This window comes from Homo sapiens, chromosome 15, assembly GCF_000001405.40.
Source record: "Homo sapiens chromosome 15, GRCh38.p14 Primary Assembly".
NCBI lineage: Eukaryota > Metazoa > Chordata > Mammalia > Primates > Hominidae > Homo > Homo sapiens.
The window spans coordinates 86124057-86142319 of NC_000015.10; the positions used below are offsets into that span (position 1 = coordinate 86124057).

The 18263-nt window shown below is 41.5% G+C and overlaps 1 protein-coding gene and 1 pseudogene across 11 annotated transcripts in view; one reads left to right on the top strand and one right to left on the bottom strand.

The window, feature by feature from the left end:
- Positions 1-18263, top strand: part of AGBL1 (AGBL carboxypeptidase 1) — a 951857-nt gene that overhangs the window by 44437 nt on the left and 889157 nt on the right. For all 11 annotated transcript variants that reach the window (XR_007064423.1, XR_931751.4, XM_011521227.4 and 8 more), the window contains exon 2: positions 17948-18011. Coding sequence is in view for 9 of the 11 variants with exons in the window: in XM_011521227.4 (XP_011519529.1) it covers positions 17948-18011 (64 nt within the window). In the remaining 2 variants the exon portion in view is untranslated. The remainder of the gene's footprint in view (positions 1-17947; positions 18012-18263) is intronic.
- On the bottom strand, positions 14213-14323 carry RNA5SP400 (RNA, 5S ribosomal pseudogene 400; annotated as a pseudogene).

Sequence of the window (18263 nt, forward strand, 5' to 3'; positions counted from 1 at the left end):
CAGTGGCTCACACTTAGAATCCTAGCACTTTGGGAGGCCGAGGCAGGCAGATCACTTGAGGCCAGGAGTTCAAGACCAGCCTGGCCAACATGGTGCAATCCCATCTCTACTGAAAATACAAAATGTAGCGGGGCATGGTGGCAGGTGCCTGTAGTCCCAGCTACTCAGGAGGCTGAGGCAGGAGAATTGCTTGAACCCAGGAGGCAGAGGTTGCAGTGAGCTGAGATTGCACCACTGCACTACAGCCTGGGCACCAGAGTGAGACTCTGTCTCAAAAAAAAAAAAAAAAAACAAAGAAAACCCCCAAAAATCCCAAAAAACAAAATACCAAAAAAATCAATAATGTACCAATGTCAGTTTTTTAGTTTTGACAAATGTATCATGCTATTATAAGATGTTGACAATAACACAACAGGTTATAAAGAAACTCTTTGTGCTACCTTTGTAACTTTTCCTTCAATCTAAAATTATTCTAAATTAAAAAGTTTATTAAAAATATTTTAAAGATTTTTTCTCTCCACGCAGATTTCTCTTCTGTTTCCTTAAGGGACTTGGTTCATGCCTCTGATACTGACCCATCAGGTGGTTTTAAGCAAATCAGCATGTTCCTCACAAAGAGAGTCTACATTTTTGATTGTTGGCTCAAACACCAGATTTTGGATGTAATTCTTAAGAGTAAATGGTTAGAGTAGCCATTCATTATCAACTGCTTGACAATTCACCATAGAGTCTGACAAACAGAAGAAGGTTGTAATGCTTAACCTAATTATGTAATTATGTATACAGTCGCTCGCAACAGTCTATATAATGGCAGGGCACAATTATAATTACTCTCAGTAAATGGGCATAAAGCTGATTGATGTTAGAATGGTAGACTTTATTTTGGGGAGGAATTAATAAAAAGGGGTTTTAGAATTAAGTTGTTCAAATATCTCTCCAAGTGCAATAATGGCTTTGCAGCATCTCTGATTCATGAGGGGCTCTCTGCTTGTGCTTGTCTAGCCAACCCACATCCACTTTGTGAGAGTAAAGAACTTTGGTTTTCAGTCATGGTGAATGTGTGCTTACTTTACATGATTGGTTGACTTCCTTGAAGAAAATGGGAGCCAAAACTTAAGACAGAGTCAGAAATAATCAATAAGGTTTTTGAAAGAGGTTTCCACCCTGTGATAGCCATGGTTAACCAAGATAACTGTTGCCTCTATTTGGAAAGACCCTCCACTTCCTCACTGTCCATCACTATTAATCTTATTTCCATGATGAAGCCTTTCGTGACTAGACTTTCCCTTTCTCTCATACCTCTCTCTCAACTTCCGTTAACCATTCTCATTCACTGAATTCAGTTTGCACTTGATCACGGTAACTTGTCAATATTTCTGTGTCCTTTTTGGCTTGTTTTGCAGCTGCGTTGAGAACTCCCATTCTGCTGGCATCCTCTGAGTCCCCTTCATCCATGGCTAAATGTATTGATGAACATCTAATAGTCTTAATAAACAATTGATTAATGGATATATAGAAGGACAGACAATGGACATTCTGTCAAGTGACTGCTTATGAGGGAAGCCACAACTCTCTATGACTGTATGTCCTGGTGACTTTCAATCAATAATTTAAAACTCATCCCTCTTCAACCTAGGCAGGGATCTCTGCATATTAGTGTCCCAGCCATGTGTCCCAGATTCATGGAAAGGATCAAAGTCAAAAACAACTTCTATCATCATGACATTTACTTGATAATTCAACATAAAGTGGAATTCCGGAAAACAGGCATGAAACAAATTTGTATTCCTTAAGTGGGAGCATTGAACTAAGAGATCATTGAATATCTCCTTAGTTTTTGGAATTCAGCCCTGGCAATTAGAGAAGAGAAGCCTGATGTCCTCTTTATGGGTTATGTGATCCTACACAGCTGCAGATGCTTTTATGACCTATGAAAATTGTGACTCAACTGGCTAATTGCCAAACATTCATGGCTTTTAATAGACTATTTTCTTCTCGGTGTCCTGTTGTAATCTTTGATCGTTGAAGACTTGATCCATAGTGGAACTACCACCTTCATCCTTGGAAGCTATTTTTTTTCTATTATCTTTCCCATTTATTTACCCTCTTAACTAATTAATTTTATAACCACGCCTGCTGACATTGATTTTCTGGAATCCTCTGTTTTTGGGGTGTGAACTATAAGAAAGATGAAATGTCATCAGTTTCTATTCAGCCTTATTTTCACATAAAAACAGTTTACTCTTACCTGCTTCCTCTACTTCATGAAATATAATCTGGTAAAGACTGAAGAACCTGGTATAAAATTATTGACAACCAAGAATCCATCTGAAGCAGGTGCAGTGTCCTTGGCAGAATTCTAGGGTGACATCTGTGGGTCTTTGTTGCTCCAGGATGGAATGTTTATATTTCCAAAGAGATATACAGAATATTCATAAATAGATGGTAGAGTCTATATGAATTGAACAGTGCTTCAAGCACAAGATCCTGTTGATGAGAAATGAGACCTCTCTAGGAGAATGTTTTATGACATTATCCATATACTCTTATCCATACTTATTACCTAGTGATGATAAAATTTTGAATATATTCTTTCACTGAAGAAGGGGTTAGTGGGATTTATAATAGAGATACAGATAAAAAATACATTTGATTCTTTGGAAATGAAGACCTAGGGCATAGGGAAAGATAAATAGGATGCCTAATTTTCTTCCAAACTGCTTCCTGTTTAGTTGTTGCGCTGTGGTTATAATTGATACACCAAATCTTGCAACAAATTTTCATTGCAGCTGGCCACATAGCACTGAGATTCCTGGATATATTTGGTGGGAAACATTCTGCTTTGAAGATGAGATTTGCTGGGATGAAAATCACAGTTGAAGTCCTTTAGAGGTGCTTGTGTGGACCAGCTGGTCCAATGAGCTCATGATATGGCTTAAATACTTCTGAGATGTGCCTCATGAGATGAGGAGGCTACACTATACAGACAGGATGGGTAATCTCTCTTCATAGAAACTTAAAGCTGTAGTCCCCAGTAATCTGGCCTTCAAACAAGGGGGAAAACTACAGGAATACTTACTCTCTGATCCTTGGTATGTTTGACCTTAGCTGTTGATGATTATGTTTATGAAGTAATTCACTCAGAAGTATAAGGGCTTTGTGTTTTCAACCGTGGACATAGGTTGTATGATTTACTGACTCTTCTTGTTATTGTTTGAGTTTTCTTTTCATATATAACATTGTGTTTATTATTGAGATTAAAGGTTTGGCTCATCCCAAAAAGTGTAATCAATATCAGAGTCAATCTTTTATAAATGACGTGGGTCCTCCTATAGAAATAAGAACTTGGAAAATTGCCTTCTGTTGCAGGATAGGAAATCCAGTGTCTGTGGATCTTGATTACTTTGGCCTATAGTGTGGTGAGTATGGACACAATGGAAGGTGATCCCAGGTAGCAAGGGAAAGATGGCATCCACCAAAAGCAGGCCACGTGGCCGAGGGCACGTGGGAAATCATACCTCTTGGGAAACCCTAAGTGGAAAAGGAGAAAATTCTATTATGGCGGAGCCAAGCTATCTATCTTCCAGAGCCATTTCTTCTTCTTCTTTTAACACAACAGCTGGGCTACAAGTTCCATCCTCCCTTGCAGTTATGTGTGAACATGTGACTGAGTTTTGATAAATGAGATGGGGTTGGAAATGACATGTGCCACTTTCAGACCTGTCACATAAAACCCTCCTGTGAGAGGTCCTCTGTATTTTTTTTCAGTTAGCTTAAGGCAGATGAACATGTTGATCTTGGAGGGTACATGAGAAAAGGAAAGCCACAAGAGAGGAGTAACTGGGTTATTGAATAACCACTTAGAGAAGCCCTGCCCATCAATTAAGAATATCTCTTTAGGACCTTCTATGAATTTTTAAAAACCCTCTTTTTTGATTGGGCCATTCATATGTTTTTTTGGGGGGTGGTTGTTTTAGTGGGTAACATTATCTTAACTCACCTGTATACCTTACAAACTTGTCTATTTACCAATTAGTCTCATGTTGTATTAGTCTGTTCTCATGCTGCTAATAAAGACATACTTGAGACTGGGTAATTTATAAAGGAAAGAGGATTAATGGACTCACAGTTCCACATGGCTGGGGAGTCTTCACACTCATGGCAGAAGGCAAAGGAGAAGGAAAGGCGGCAGGCAAGAGAGCTTGTGCAGGGGAACTCCCATTTATCAAGGCATCAGATCTCACGAGAGTTATTCACTACCACAAGAACAGTATGGGGGAAACCACCCCCATGATTCAATGATCTCCACCTGGCCCTGCCCTTGACAGGTGGGGATTACTACAATTCAAGGTGAGATTTGGGTGGGGACACAGCCAAACCACATTACATGTCATGGTAAAACTTGGAATTCTGGAGATATGTGCAAAGTTTATGTCTTGGTTCTAACTTACCGTATGAGCAACTTGGGAGGAAGCTGGATCACCAGGCGCAGAGAATCAGTCCCTGAGATACAGGCGCCCCACCTCGCATGGTGACACCTCGTTCCTTCCACCCCAGTTCAACCTTACAGTGTTTGCGCGTTATTTTATTAATGGAGGCAAGAAGTTTGTATGTAAGTTATGCTAACTTACCTATGTTCCCTTTCTTTATCTCTTTTTCTTTGGCCAAATGAACTCATTTACTAGATCTGGGGAATTAATCTGTACTTATGTAGCAGAATGAAGGGAACTGGGGTATATGACAATTATAGCTATTAATCTTACCATACCTGAAACATTAGTTGAGCAGATACTTCCTAGGGTGAGATATCTGTGAGAACAGAGACCTTACTGACCTATTTACAACCGCATCTCCAGTTCTTGACCTGAAGTGGCTACCTAATAAATATCTCCCAATTATATTAACACAGTGCTTCCAATAATGAAGCCAATCATGGATAAATTGGGGAGAACACTGACAATAAAACGAACAGAAAATCTTAGTCTTTATCGCCTGGAATGTGGTGGATGCTTTCTTTCAATATAACAGAACCAAATACTGTAGTGGGAATATGAATTAATAGTCATTCAAAAATGAATATAATGTCTCATTCTAGATCAAAGCCACACCCTCAATTTAATTCCTGGTTATTGATTTATTTTCAAATAGTTGAGCAGATGCTGGATATATCTATAGAATGAAACTTGCTAAATTTAACTACGTTGTCACTTAACCCTCTGTGTGTGTGCGTTTGTGTGTATAGGAATCTGACTGGTCTTGTATCTGATTCAGAAAAATCTAGTCCTGGCTTTGAGTGAAAATGGAAGGTAGGCAATTGTCTTGGAGGAATGATTTGTGGGAGGCTCCATAAAGCTCCAAGCCCTAAAGCATCTCCCTGACTTGGCTTTAAATGATCCCTGAAACAGGGAGATTTTTATTCCTTTGATTTATTTCATTATCCCCATTAGGTTTACCGGGAGGAATAGTATGTTACATAGGTATGAGTAATTAATGCATTTGTGTGGTGGTTCTCAACCAGGGCCAAGTTTGTATTTTGCAACATCTGTAGATATTTTTGGTTGTCACAACTGGGGCTGAGAGTGGTGGGGTGGTTATGCTACTTGTCTCTAGCGGGTAGAGACCAGGAATACTGCTAAACATCTTGCAATATATGGGACGGCTCCCTCTTTCCCATTAAAAAAATAATTATCTGCCCCAAAATACCAATAGTGCTGAGCTTGAGAAAGCCTGCATTAGGGTGAAGTAACTCGTTGATAGATTCTTTTGAGAAGATAGTTAACACAGTGGAGGTTTTGAGAGAGAGCGTGTGGGGTGGACAGAAAGGCATAAATTTAAAATTGTGGAATGGGAGGATGAATGCTGGGATACCTTTACACCCCAGAGACTCCTGGCTAACATATGTGAATTGAAAGGGAAAAAATTACTCCTTCTTGGGAAATATGCCAACTGTAGAGCTGTTCTTTTAAAATGTCATGGTGCCGTCTTAAGTTAACAAAGGTCAGCAGTCGTGTGGGTAGGGGAAAGGGCAGGGATCTTGAACTGAAGTCCACACTGGCCTCTTTTATATGTCTCACTCTATACTGGAGCATGAGGGACACCTTTAGAAGAGCTTCGTGCCCTACCTGAGTTTTCTGAGGGCACACCTGTCCTCTGAGACTCCTGGGCATGTTTCCAGCAGATGAACATACACTACCACTTTCTCTCTCATTCTTCATCTTCAGAGTCTGCCACACTGTCAAAAATGGAAAGTTGGCTTCTTTTTTTTTAAATTTTATTATTATTATACGTTAAGCATGAAGATCTCCTATTGACTCCAGTTTGACATCACAGAACATCATTAGGTTATGGAACTGGAAGGAGCCTGAAAAATCGTGTCTTCTTATTTTCTTAATTGAAACATGAGGAAAGCAAGTGGGGTCCAGGGAAAGTAAATGGCTTCTCTAAAATCATTATGGAAAAATTAGGATTAGAACTGGATTTACCACCTCCAAGTCTGATGTTTCTCTATTCTCTATCATGTAATTTTTTGTAGAAACACCTGAGTAAGAGAGAAACTCACTAAAATCTTTGAGAGATTTTGCAGTTTAAATGCTTGGTATAGATTTTTTTCTTTTTCACTGTCATGCATTCCAAATTCAGTTTTTAGAAACAAGATTTTCAATGCTTTTTATTGATCTCCTATTGAGATTGGTTTGCATTCTAGTCACTATTGCTGGTAAGAAATTATCCTGATCTCAGTGGCTTGAAACAGCCATTTTATTTTTCTCACATTTTGGTGGTCAGGCATTTGGAAATAAGTCATCAGGGCAGTTCTTTCCTGGTGTCTCTTGTATGGTTGCAGTCAGAAGTTGGCTGGGGTTGCAATTATCTGAAACCTCAATTGGTCTGGACATTTAAGATTGCTCCCTTCCATTATTTGGTTGACATTTAATGCCAATTGATCCCAGTTCAGCTGAGAGCTTAATTGACTGTCTACTGGACCACCATATGGGTCTTTCCGTATGGCAAGACCCATACTGGGCTTTGTTATGGCATGGCTTCCTTATGGTAGTCAGTCCTCTTACATGGAGACTTAGGGCTTCAGATGCAAGTATCCCAGTGACCTGATGCCTATTTCTTAATCATCAAGCTGTACCCCAGGATTGCTTTGCTTTTCATGACCTACTCTTGAAAGGTAAGCAATGTCACTTCCATTGCATTCTATTTGGTAATAAGAGAGTTACTGAAATTGGCTAAGATTCAAGAGTAGTTGACATGGATACCATCTCTTGGTGGTACACATGACAAAGCATTTGTGGACAAGTTTTAAAATCATCACAGTTTGGATTTTACAGTCAAAAAGTTTCCACTAAATAAATACTAATTTGGCTATTTTACAATGTCCTATTTTTTTTAAACTTGCTATATTTCAAAATTCAATTTGTAAAATAGTAAGAAAGTTTATGTTTGCTTTTGAGTAAATTATTCAACTTCTCTTGGCCTCAATTTCCTTATCGTTATGATAAGAATAATGATATCTAAATTTTAGGATGAGAATTTTGTTTTAAGAATTAAGCAGTAAATGGTGTCTGAAACAAGGTAGACACCGAATGGTAATAATCATAATATTGGCCAGGTGCGGTGGCTCACGCCTGTAAATCCCAGCACTTTGGGAGGCTGAGGTGGGTGAATTGCTTGAGCTCAGGAGTTCAAGGCCAGCCTGGGCAACATGGTGGAAATCCTGTCTCTACCAAAAATACAAAAATGAGCAAGGTGTGGTGGTGCACTCCTGTAGTCCCAGCTACTCGGGAGGCTGAGGTAGGAGGATCCTGGGAAGGTGGGCTGCAGTCCAGTTGAGGCTTCGGTGAGTTGTGATCCTGCCAGCCTGGGTGACAGAGCAAGACCATGTCTCGAAAAAAAAAAAAAAAATCATAACGTTGTCTACATGGGATGCCAGTTCATATCCTGATGCCTATTTCTTAACCCTCAAATTGTACAGAACATCTCTGAAAACAGCGCTTCAGATTGGGGTAGGGAAGACCATTACCCACTACTTTAAAGAGTACCCGAGTAGCGGAGTACCCACAAGACAACAGGAGTCCCTGAAACGAGAGGCGCAAAGACAGCAGGGTCGAATCATTCCTGCTTCATAATTCTGCTTTAGACTAGCTTGCTGAGAATGAGCTGGGTAGAGGACAAGGAAAAGGGCATCTCCCCAGTGTTTTTGGAATGAAGGTGACTTGTAGAGGCAGGGAGGAGCCTCCCTGTCCTGAATGCTCTTAATTGTCCATGTATGTTTTGGAGGTGGTGGATTCAGAGGGGATGAAGGTAGCAAGTGGCAGCTGCTGGTTGAAGGAAGAAGGCGGCAACCCATTTCCTTGACGACGGTGTGAGCCTTGGGTGGTAGACACCTGGAAGTGTTATTTACTTGCTATGTTTAGAATCCTTTTAGAAAAGCTGAAAACTGTTTGCCACTTCCTTTCAGAAATCCTTAATTCTAACCTGCAAGTTTTGTGCTATAATTTGTCAACTGTGCTTGGGAAAGACTTCATAGACTTCCTAGAAATAGAGATGGAGCCTGCTTTCCAATCAGCATCATTTAAAAGAAAACAGAGAACCTTTTAGGCATGTGAGGTTGTTGATTGCTAGCATTATTATGATGACCGGAGACTTTGCAATTTATAGAGAGACCACGAACGTGCCGGGCATTGTTGACAAAGCACAGGATTCAAAATTGTTTCTGCCCAGAGCATGCAATCTCACCCTCTTGAGATGTTTTGTTTATTTTTTTTCTCTCTCCTTAAGAGTATTCTGCTAAATTGGGAACATTGTGATCCTGGTGGAAAATTGATCTCATAAGATGTATCTCAAAGGATCTTCAGACCTATTTTTAGATTATTCACCTTTTGTCTGTCATGGCCATCGCCTATTTATTTATCAACATTTTATTGAGCGTTTAGTGTGACCCAGGCAGTAAGCTAAACATTCCTACATTTATTATGGTATTTCTAACCCAACTGTCCATGAGTTAGGTACAAGTATTAGTCCAATAATGTGGGTGAGGAAATTGGGTGTTACAGAGGTTATGGAAATTAGCCTAAAGTTGATCTGAATTAAACTTACATTTTTAACCCCTTCTCTTCTGTCTTTCTCTCCCTGTCTCCCTCTACCTCTCTCTTTCTGTGCCTCAGCCTCACTAGCCTTCTGAATGTCCCTCAACTTTGCCATAGGACTTTGCATACTAGCCTCTTTTGCCCTGAGCATTTTTCTTTTCCATTTTCTGCTAGTTCACTTTTGTTTATCTTTCAGCTCTCAGCTTAAGTGTTACTTCTTAAGGGATCCTTTTCTGATTCACATCAAATAACTCTATTTTATGCTCACATGTCACAATAAACCCGGCACCTATTCCTGGTTGCACTTTTATATCTGGGTGACTCTGCACAATACATCCCTCCCCAACTAACTTCGAAGCTTTGTAAGAACAAGGACTGTCTGTATACATGCTGTCTATGTATTCGTAGCACCTAGCGCAGTTCCTGGTACATAGCAAATGCTCAACAAACATCTACCAAATAAATGAAAAACAGACTACATTCTATCTTTACCTTGTTCTAGACCGTGAATACCCTTTTTACCGAGGAGGATCATTGATATCCTTGACAATTCATTATATAAGACTCAATGTGTGGTTGGGACATTTGTCAAATTCTGGGGCTGGAGAACTCTCAGCAAAGATCTTGTTGAGGTTGTTTTCAAGGTTCCATCTAAGATACTCCAGTCAGAAAATAGTATATGCCATTTATTTTTTTATTTTGTTTTATTTTATATCTTAACATTTTGTTACAAAACCACATTACCTACCACCCAGCTTCTGTAGTGATAGCAGACGTCTTTCTTATATGTCTTCAGTATTTCCATGCCAACCCCCACCATTATTGAAACAAATATCATAGTTATTCAGCCCATAGTCTTCTAAAACACTTCTTTCTTATGAACTCATTTCAACCTCTCCAGGAAATGTTTTCCTTCAACTTATACTAAATTTCTAATCATGCAGTTTCTGCCTGTTTCCTCTTGTGTGAAGACAGAGAGCGGCTGGTCACTATTTTTGGTGTTATATAACCATTTTTAGTAATTGAAGTTTGTGATTAGTGCTCCCTTCAGTCATTCATTAACAACTTCAAATTTAATAATGTCTTTTATTTAACCAGTGGACCATCTCTAGTGAGTGTTCAAACTGCATGACTGGAAGAACAAATTTATTTTTGGCAATATGGTTTCCTTGGGCTATGAGCTGTGTCCTGAGCTCTTGGCTCATGAGTTTGGAAAGGTTCTGTCTTATTCTTTAGAGGCTAAGAAATAGAATGTTATGGGCTTGTTCTTTCAGTCTGGCAGGGCATAAGCACTCTATTTCTGTGAGATCAGGGGCACTACTCAAAGTGCGAGGGGATGGACTGTTTTTTTCCCAGTCTAGTAAAATTGGATCTAGACTTGTGGAGAAAATTGAGAGGGGGACTACAGGATCCTTTTTTCCCCTCCACTTTAAGACTGTGATGGATCAATGGTGCCTTTTTTTTTTTTTTTTTTTTTTTTTTTGAGATGGCATCTCACTCTGTCGCCCAGGCTGGAGTGCAGTGGCATGATCTCGGCTCACTGTAACGTCTGCCACCCAGGTTCAAACGACTCTTCTGCCTCAGCCTCCCGAGTAGCTAGGATTACAGGCACGTGCCACTACGCCCAGTTAATTTTTTTAATTTTTAGGAGAGATGGGGTTTCACCATGTTGGCCAGGATGGTCTCGATCTCCTGACCTCATGATCTGCCTGCCTCAGCCTCCCAAAGTGCTGGGATTACAGGTGTAAGCCACTGTGCCAGCCAATGGTGCCTATTTTTTTTTTTAACAGTGTTTGACTGCTATGTTTTGAATATGATTTGTTTGCCCCTACCAAGTCACATGTTGAGATCTGAACCCCAATGTTGGAGTTGGGGCCTAATGGGGCGCTGGGGCCTTGCACAGAGTAGGCATTCAGGAAACTATGGAATGAGAGGTGTTTGGATCGTAGGGGCAGATCCCCCATGAATGGCTGAGTGCCACTGTCACAGGAGCGGGTGAGTTCTCACTCCTGTTTCCCACGTGAGCTTGTTGTTGAAAAGGCCTGGCACTTCCCTTCCTTCTCTCACTTCCTCGCTTACCCTGTGATCTGCACATGCAGGCTCCTCTTGCCTCATACCATGAGCAGAAATAGCCTGACACTTTCACGAAAAGCAGATGCTGGGTCCATGCTTCTTGTACAGCCTGCAGAACGTGAGCCAAACAAACTTCTTTTCTTTATAAATTACCCAATCTCAAGCTTTAAAAAATAACAACACAAAAGACAGACTAAAACACTGACACATAGTTGGCACTCTGTATTTGCTTGCTCAGTTGCTAGATTGACAGAAAAATTGAGCTGTGCACCTTGTAAACTTCTGTAACAATGTTCTCACTGAGATGGACTTTACATCCTGGCATCGAGAACAGAATGACAAGGCTCTGTCAGATTGCATATTCAGTCTGAATCCCACTTCATATCATTCCATAGTTCCCTGAATGCCTACTGTGTGAAAGACCCCATGCTAGGATCAGGGGAGGGCAAGAGGAATGAGTCAAAAATCTTGCTCTAGAGGAGCTCACAGTCTAAAGTGAGTGTGGGAGATTAAAAGTGGCTGAAAATTCTTTTCTACTCCTCCAGTTGAGGGGTAGAGTCTAACTCCCCTCCCCTTAAATTTGGACTAGCGTCCAGATTGATTTGATTAATCAATAGAATGTGGCAGAAGTGATGTTTGGCCTTCTGAGGCTAAGACAAAAGAAGCCTTGCAACTTTCACCCGGTTCATGTGGAATACTTGATCTGGGGGAAGCCAGCTGCCATGGAAGAGGTCCAGGTACCTTAAGACTATTATGCTGAAAAAGACATATGTGGGCATTCTGGTCACTAGTCCAGGTGTGCCCAGTCTTCTAGCTATACCTGTCAAGGTGCCAGATGTGATTGAAATCAACATAGACCCTCCAGTCTAGTGCATCTGCCAGTTGAGTGGCACTCAGTGACCTCAGTTAATACCATGGGAAGCAGTAGAATCTCCCAGCCAAGTTCTGGCCAAATTTACCTACCCACAAAATCCATAGCTAGAATTAAAAGGCCATTGTTCTAAGGCATTAAGTTTTGGGATAGTTTGTTACCCCCACAATAGACAGTGAGAACAGAGATATAAGAAAATAACCAGCATCAAGTAAGAACTTTAATAAAAGGTATGTACAAAGTGTTGTTGGACAACGAATTAGAACAAATAATTCTGTTCTTGGAGAGGCCAGGCCACCACAGTGCCTCACTTGGTGGGGCACCAATCATGTTGTAGTCTTTGTGAACAGCAGCCCTGGAGTTGTGCAGAGCCCAATAGGAGCAGACATATGTGGCAATTGTGGGTAATGGGGGCTGGGAAGGCAGGTTAGCTGGGAAAACCATAAAGAAAAGGAACTGGAGCTGAGAATTAACATATGCTACAAAGAGTGGGGAGAAATGATGCTTAAGCCTGCATCAGCATGAGCCCAGACTTGAGAGCAGAGGTACCCATGATACTCTTGGTACATAATAACTGGTTCTGTATCATTGGCATGGAGTGTTGGGGTAGGAGGAGTGGCTGCAGCTGAGCCTCCAAAGGCAGAGTGACGTAAAGGGCGTCACTTTCATACTGTGGTGAGGAGCTGGGAGGAGGAAGGCAACAGGGACACATAGAAGATTTTAAAGCAGGGAGTGACACATTCAAAACAGTATTTGAGAAAATTGCAGTTCAAAACCCCACAGACTATGAAAGACACTGTTCTTCCAACTCCAACTCCCTGAGTCTCCCTGAAAGCTTGGTAGATACATTTTTTTATAGGATTTTTTTCAACAACAGGGGATTACTCAATGTTTCATTTCAAAGGATCATTAAAGGAAAATCAAGGCACATCACATCCTGCCTTCTTTAACTGCTCATTTATTATTACTGTGGGTGAGATAACAGCTTTGTGTTATTCTTCTAAATAGTGTAAAATATTTATTGGTAAATGTAGCAGTACATAAATTAATGCCAGTTGAGATTATTTTTCTCCACTGATCACCATAATGTTTACTTAAAGTAAAACCATTTGTGCTGCTCCATTCTGGCTCAGCGCTAAGTGAGGGCATTATGAACTGAACGTCTTTAGGACAACACTGTCTCTTAGTTTCCATGGGGTGGCAGGACCCTGTGGGTGAGCTGGCTCTCTGGTTTGTTTGTGAAACCAACTTCTTTCCTATTTTTCAAGACCACAGTACTTGGGAAGAGAGCACGTGGAGGTGTAAAATTTTCTTTTCTCTGTCACATCTGAATTTACTAAAAGTGGCTTTTTTAAGTAAGATATTCATTATTTCTCTTATCTGAAAGCCCACATGTGGGGGGCTCCTTAGAGTTGATCTGGTGGCTTACCAGTCACCGAGGACCCAAAATTGTGTCTTCATACGGCAATGTCCAAACACAGGAAATATTTTTTGTGTTTTGTTTTAAATTTTTTTTTTAACTTCTGGAGAAAAATTTTTTCCAAAATCTTGCAGGTATCCTCTCAGGTTTTCTATTTCTGATCTGGGTTCATATCCTCCTCTAAACCAACCACAGGAAAGAGAAAAAGCTTAGAGGAGATGAACCATGGCCCATTCCCTGGGCAGGGGAGAGAGACCCACATCCTCCATCAACACTCAACCATCCTGTATTTGAAGCAAATGGGGTTTTCTCAGAGGCAGCTCCGGAGGAATGACTGAAGTGTGTGCAGCATATGATGTTGGCCACAGGTCAAACCAATTTAATTGATTTGTATATTAAATGTTGATTTAATATATACCATATGCCCAGTTCTATATCCCTGTTGGCAGATAAAACAGAAGTATAGAAGACAATGCTTGTTCTCAGGGAGTATCAGTGGGCATTATAATAAAGCAGGCCATTCCTTAGCTTGAGAAATTAATAAAATATATGGATTATCTATTACAGCTCGTGAGGTGGGAATAGAGATATGAATAAGACCTAGTTCTTGCCCACAAATAATGTGCAATTCCCTTCACCATCTGCTTTATTCAATCTGGTCATACTGCAGACAGATTCATCCCCCAGCCTCCCCATGCTCTGCCATGTTGCCCTCGGAACACACAGGGCTACATCACAGTGGGAACATTCTTTTCTCCCCTTTCAACTTGGTTTCTCAAGAGTCTCCCATCCAAGTACTAACCAGGCCCAACCCTGTTTAGCTTCTGAGAGGTTTCTCAAGAGTTATCATTCATGGATCTGGCTGGGTTCAATGTTTCTTTCCAGGATTCTCTCTACTTCTCCCAGTTTACCTTTGTCACAGCCCTTGCTGTCTTGGGTCCTGTCTGCCAGCTGTTCATCTCAGCCAGGCCTGGAGCCCTATGAAGGAAGGTTGTGCTGTCATCCATTTTTATCCTCAGTGCCCAGCTTGGTGGCTGGAATGTAGATGATTCCCAGTGAATGTTTGCGAGATGAATGCATGAATCATTGAATGAAAATAAATTATATCTGGACCTTTTATTCCCCTTTAATCAGTTTTTACCTTATTAGTTTTCTTCTTTCCCTTTTCTCCTTCCTCTTTTTCTCATCTCCTCATTTTCTCTCTTATTTTCCTTTTCCTTGCTCATGATTTATAATCAACTAATGACTTCAGCATTTTAAAATTTACCCAACATTTGCACAGCCTTTCCAAAGGCTTTTATGCCCCTCCTCTTCATAGAAAGATGAGCTGTGCTACAGGTCTATCCAGAAATGTCAATGTTGATCAGGAAACTAATTCCAGAGACTTCATTTTCTTCTGTGAGCCATCTTTGGGTCCATTTTCAAAGGGCTAGAGTCCTGAACATTCCCCCAAATAATAGATCAGTTGCTGGACAGCTCCTCGGTTCTTATTTCTAGTTTTTCATAGACTACGGAGGGAGAGGCACCCACATTGGTACACGTATATATCACAGTTGCTGGAGGATGGTGTGGACTTGGAGTTTCAGAGAATGATATCATCTATTAACATTTAGTGCAGCTGTGATGACAGGCATTAGCAAAGCATATGCCAAGACTGCCCTTGTTAGCCCAAAGCTCCCAGTGGAGAAGATGTTAGAGGAAACCCAAGTCTTTCTCCTGGGTAAGTGTCTAGGGATCCCTAGGAGACTCAGGAAGTCCACACTGTCTCTGAGTTCAGGGTTCTCTTCTGTATAACACCTCTGTTATACAGATAGAGTATCAAGCATTGCAGAGATCCCTTAGAGTTTTTTCATAATAGGATTTGGCACCACCCCGGGATTCTCTTGAGAAAAGGAGGAGTTCGTTCTTGTCAGTCAGGGAAGTCTTTCCATCAGAACATTTTAGTGGATTTCTGTTTCTTGCCTCTGTGCTGTATTGAAAAATAAGCCAGCCGGGTGTGGTGGCTCATGCCTGTAATCCCTTTGGGAGGCTGAGGCAGGAGATCGAGATCATCCTGGTTAACATGGTGGAAACTCGTCTCTTCTGAAAACACAATCAATCTCCTGGGTAAGTGTCTAGGGATCCCATCAAGTATCTAGGGATCCCTAGAGGTCTCATCCTTCTCAGAATAGGAGTTAGAAAGTTAAATTTTGATATCTTGTTCATCAATTAATTTACAAATCAAAATTAATTGAAAAAATACATTAATTGATTTTTTTTTTTTTTAAAAACCAGGGCATTCCTTAGTTTAAGTGGGGCCCACCTGGGTGAGAGGGCCCAGCACCTAGAAGAAGGTGTTGGGTCTCTTGGTGGTGAAGTACCACTTGCATTGACAACGCAGGACCCAGTGGGGCAGCGGGAACTTGTTCTTGGAGTCGTGGAACTGCTTCACTGTGGGCCGGTGGCACTTGCTGGGGACAATCTCCTCCACCTTCATGATCTAAATGGGTGGGCGGGACATGATGTGGAGAGCCCCTGTCTGGGTAGCACTGGGTGACAGCGCCCCTGGTGGTCAGGTCTTGGTATTCCCCGTGCATGTTGTGGGTGCCCCTCCCAGAGTCATAGCGCAGTCAGATGCCAAGTTCTTCACCCTCAGGGGGGTACTTCTCAAACACCCGCCCACAGGTGTTAATCAATTAGTTGATTTTTTCAATTAATTAATTTTGATTTGTAAAAATATTTATCTTGATTACTGTGGGTTTTTTTTTTTTTAATGCCCCTTAAATTTTGTGCTGAAGCAGGTGGCCCTGGCTGGGATTTTGAAGTCTGATTTTAACTCTTTAAGACCCTGGGGAGGCTTAAGGCTGGGACTGAAGAAAGTGTAGGCATCATGTGCCTTTGGGGATGTTGTTGGACTTCATGGCCTCCTTGGAGTTCTTTTTGGTTCAGTTTGGTTCCATTCAACAAATATTTGCCCACCTTTTATGAAAGACCCCTTGTGCCAGGTGCTGGAAAGATATATACACAAAACTTGATTTCTTCTTTAAATATCTTCATACCTAGTGGGGGTGGAGTGGGAAGCAAGATTATACCATGATACCAACACCATGTGGTAAGTGCAATGTCAGGGCTGAGCCCAGAGTGATGTGGAGATAGAAGGGACTCCAGACCCAGCTTGGGGGTTGGATGGGATCTCGTGGAGCTGGAGTGCACTTGAAGGATGAGCTGGCATTGACTAGGCTGAGAGGTAAGGAAAAGTGCGGCTGGAAGAGGGAAGAGTGTGATCAAAGTTACAGAGGCATGAAATGGCATGGTTTGAGCAGGAAACTCCAAGGGGTTCCGTGTTGATGAAACATCTATTTCAGGCAGGGTGTTGTAATGAATAATGAAGCTGAAGACATAAGAAGGACAAGATCATAAAGAGCTTTGGAAATTCTATTAATGAGCTATGACTTTATCCTATATGTGATGGGGAATTATTGAGGCCTTTGAAGTGGATGAGGAGTATGAGTCTTATGGAAGATTAAGGCTTTGCCTTAAATAAAATACCCTCTCCTCCAAATATCTTACAGTGCAAAGAGCGCTGGCCTGATTTTGGGAGACTGGACTGAGTGGTACTTCTGGCCTTGCTGTATGTATTACTTCAGGAGACTCAGCAAGTCCACACTGTCTCTGAATTCAGGGTTCTCTTCTGTATAACAGAGGATAGAGTATCAAGCATTGCAGAGATCCTTTAGAGTTTTTTCATAATAGGATTTGGCACCACCCTGGGATTCTCCTGAGAAAAGGAGGAGTTCATTCTTGTCAGTCAGGGAAGTCTTTTCGTCAGAACATTTTAGTGGATTTCTGTTTCTTGCCTCTGTGCTGTATTGAAAAATAAGCCGGCCGGGTGTGGTGGCTCATGCCTGTAATCCCTTTGGGAGGCCGAGGCAGGCAGATAACGTGGTCAGGAGATTGAGACCATCCTAGCTAACACAGTGGAAACTTGTCTCTACTAAAAACACAAAAAACTAGCCAGGGGTGGTGGCACATGCCTGTAGCCCCAGTTACTTGGCAGGCTGAGGCAGAAGAACTGCTTGAACCCGGGAGGTGGAAGTTGCAGTGAGTGGAGATCGCACCACTGCACCCCCGCCTGGGCAACAGAGCAAGACTTCATCTTAAATAAAAATAAAAATAAGCCAAGCCTACTGAAATAACAGACCTGTGCTACTCTGGCCCACAAAGCCCCTTTTACTTCCTTGTTTTCTGTGTAAATCATTATTGCTTATTCTTTTGTTCATCTTGCTGATGTTACTACAAGATACGTCTGCAAAGATGAGTTCTGAAGACTAAATATGGAGGGAGGCACAGCCCCTGGGTCTCTTACCAAGTGAATCCCCTTGCCTGTCCTTTCGCTGTAGTTAATCTTTCTCCATGACAGGAAGTAGAGCTCTGCCATTCCATGTACATCCCTGATCATCCAACTCCTTCCTCTTGCATTCTTAAATATGGCTGCCTGTGTTCTCATTGCAGAGCTCCTCTGACAAGGAGTCCATCCTGACCATCCTCAAGGTCCTCGGAGATCTGCTTTCTGTTGGTGAGTAGGCCATGCTCTCATGCTTTCATATGGCGGATGTGGAGCCTGCTGGCTGTGATCTCTCCCAGGCACCTCTGTGACCTGGGGGTTTGCTCTTGCTTCAGTTTCCTGTGAGAGGCAGCATCACTAGCCCATCTTTTTTCTCTAAGGTTAATAAGACCCAAGTAACCTGGACTGTTTGTACTTGCACTCCTCAGTCTTCTCACCCGACACTGAGGAGGAAATTAGATTTAGTAGTAACCCTCCGTGGTT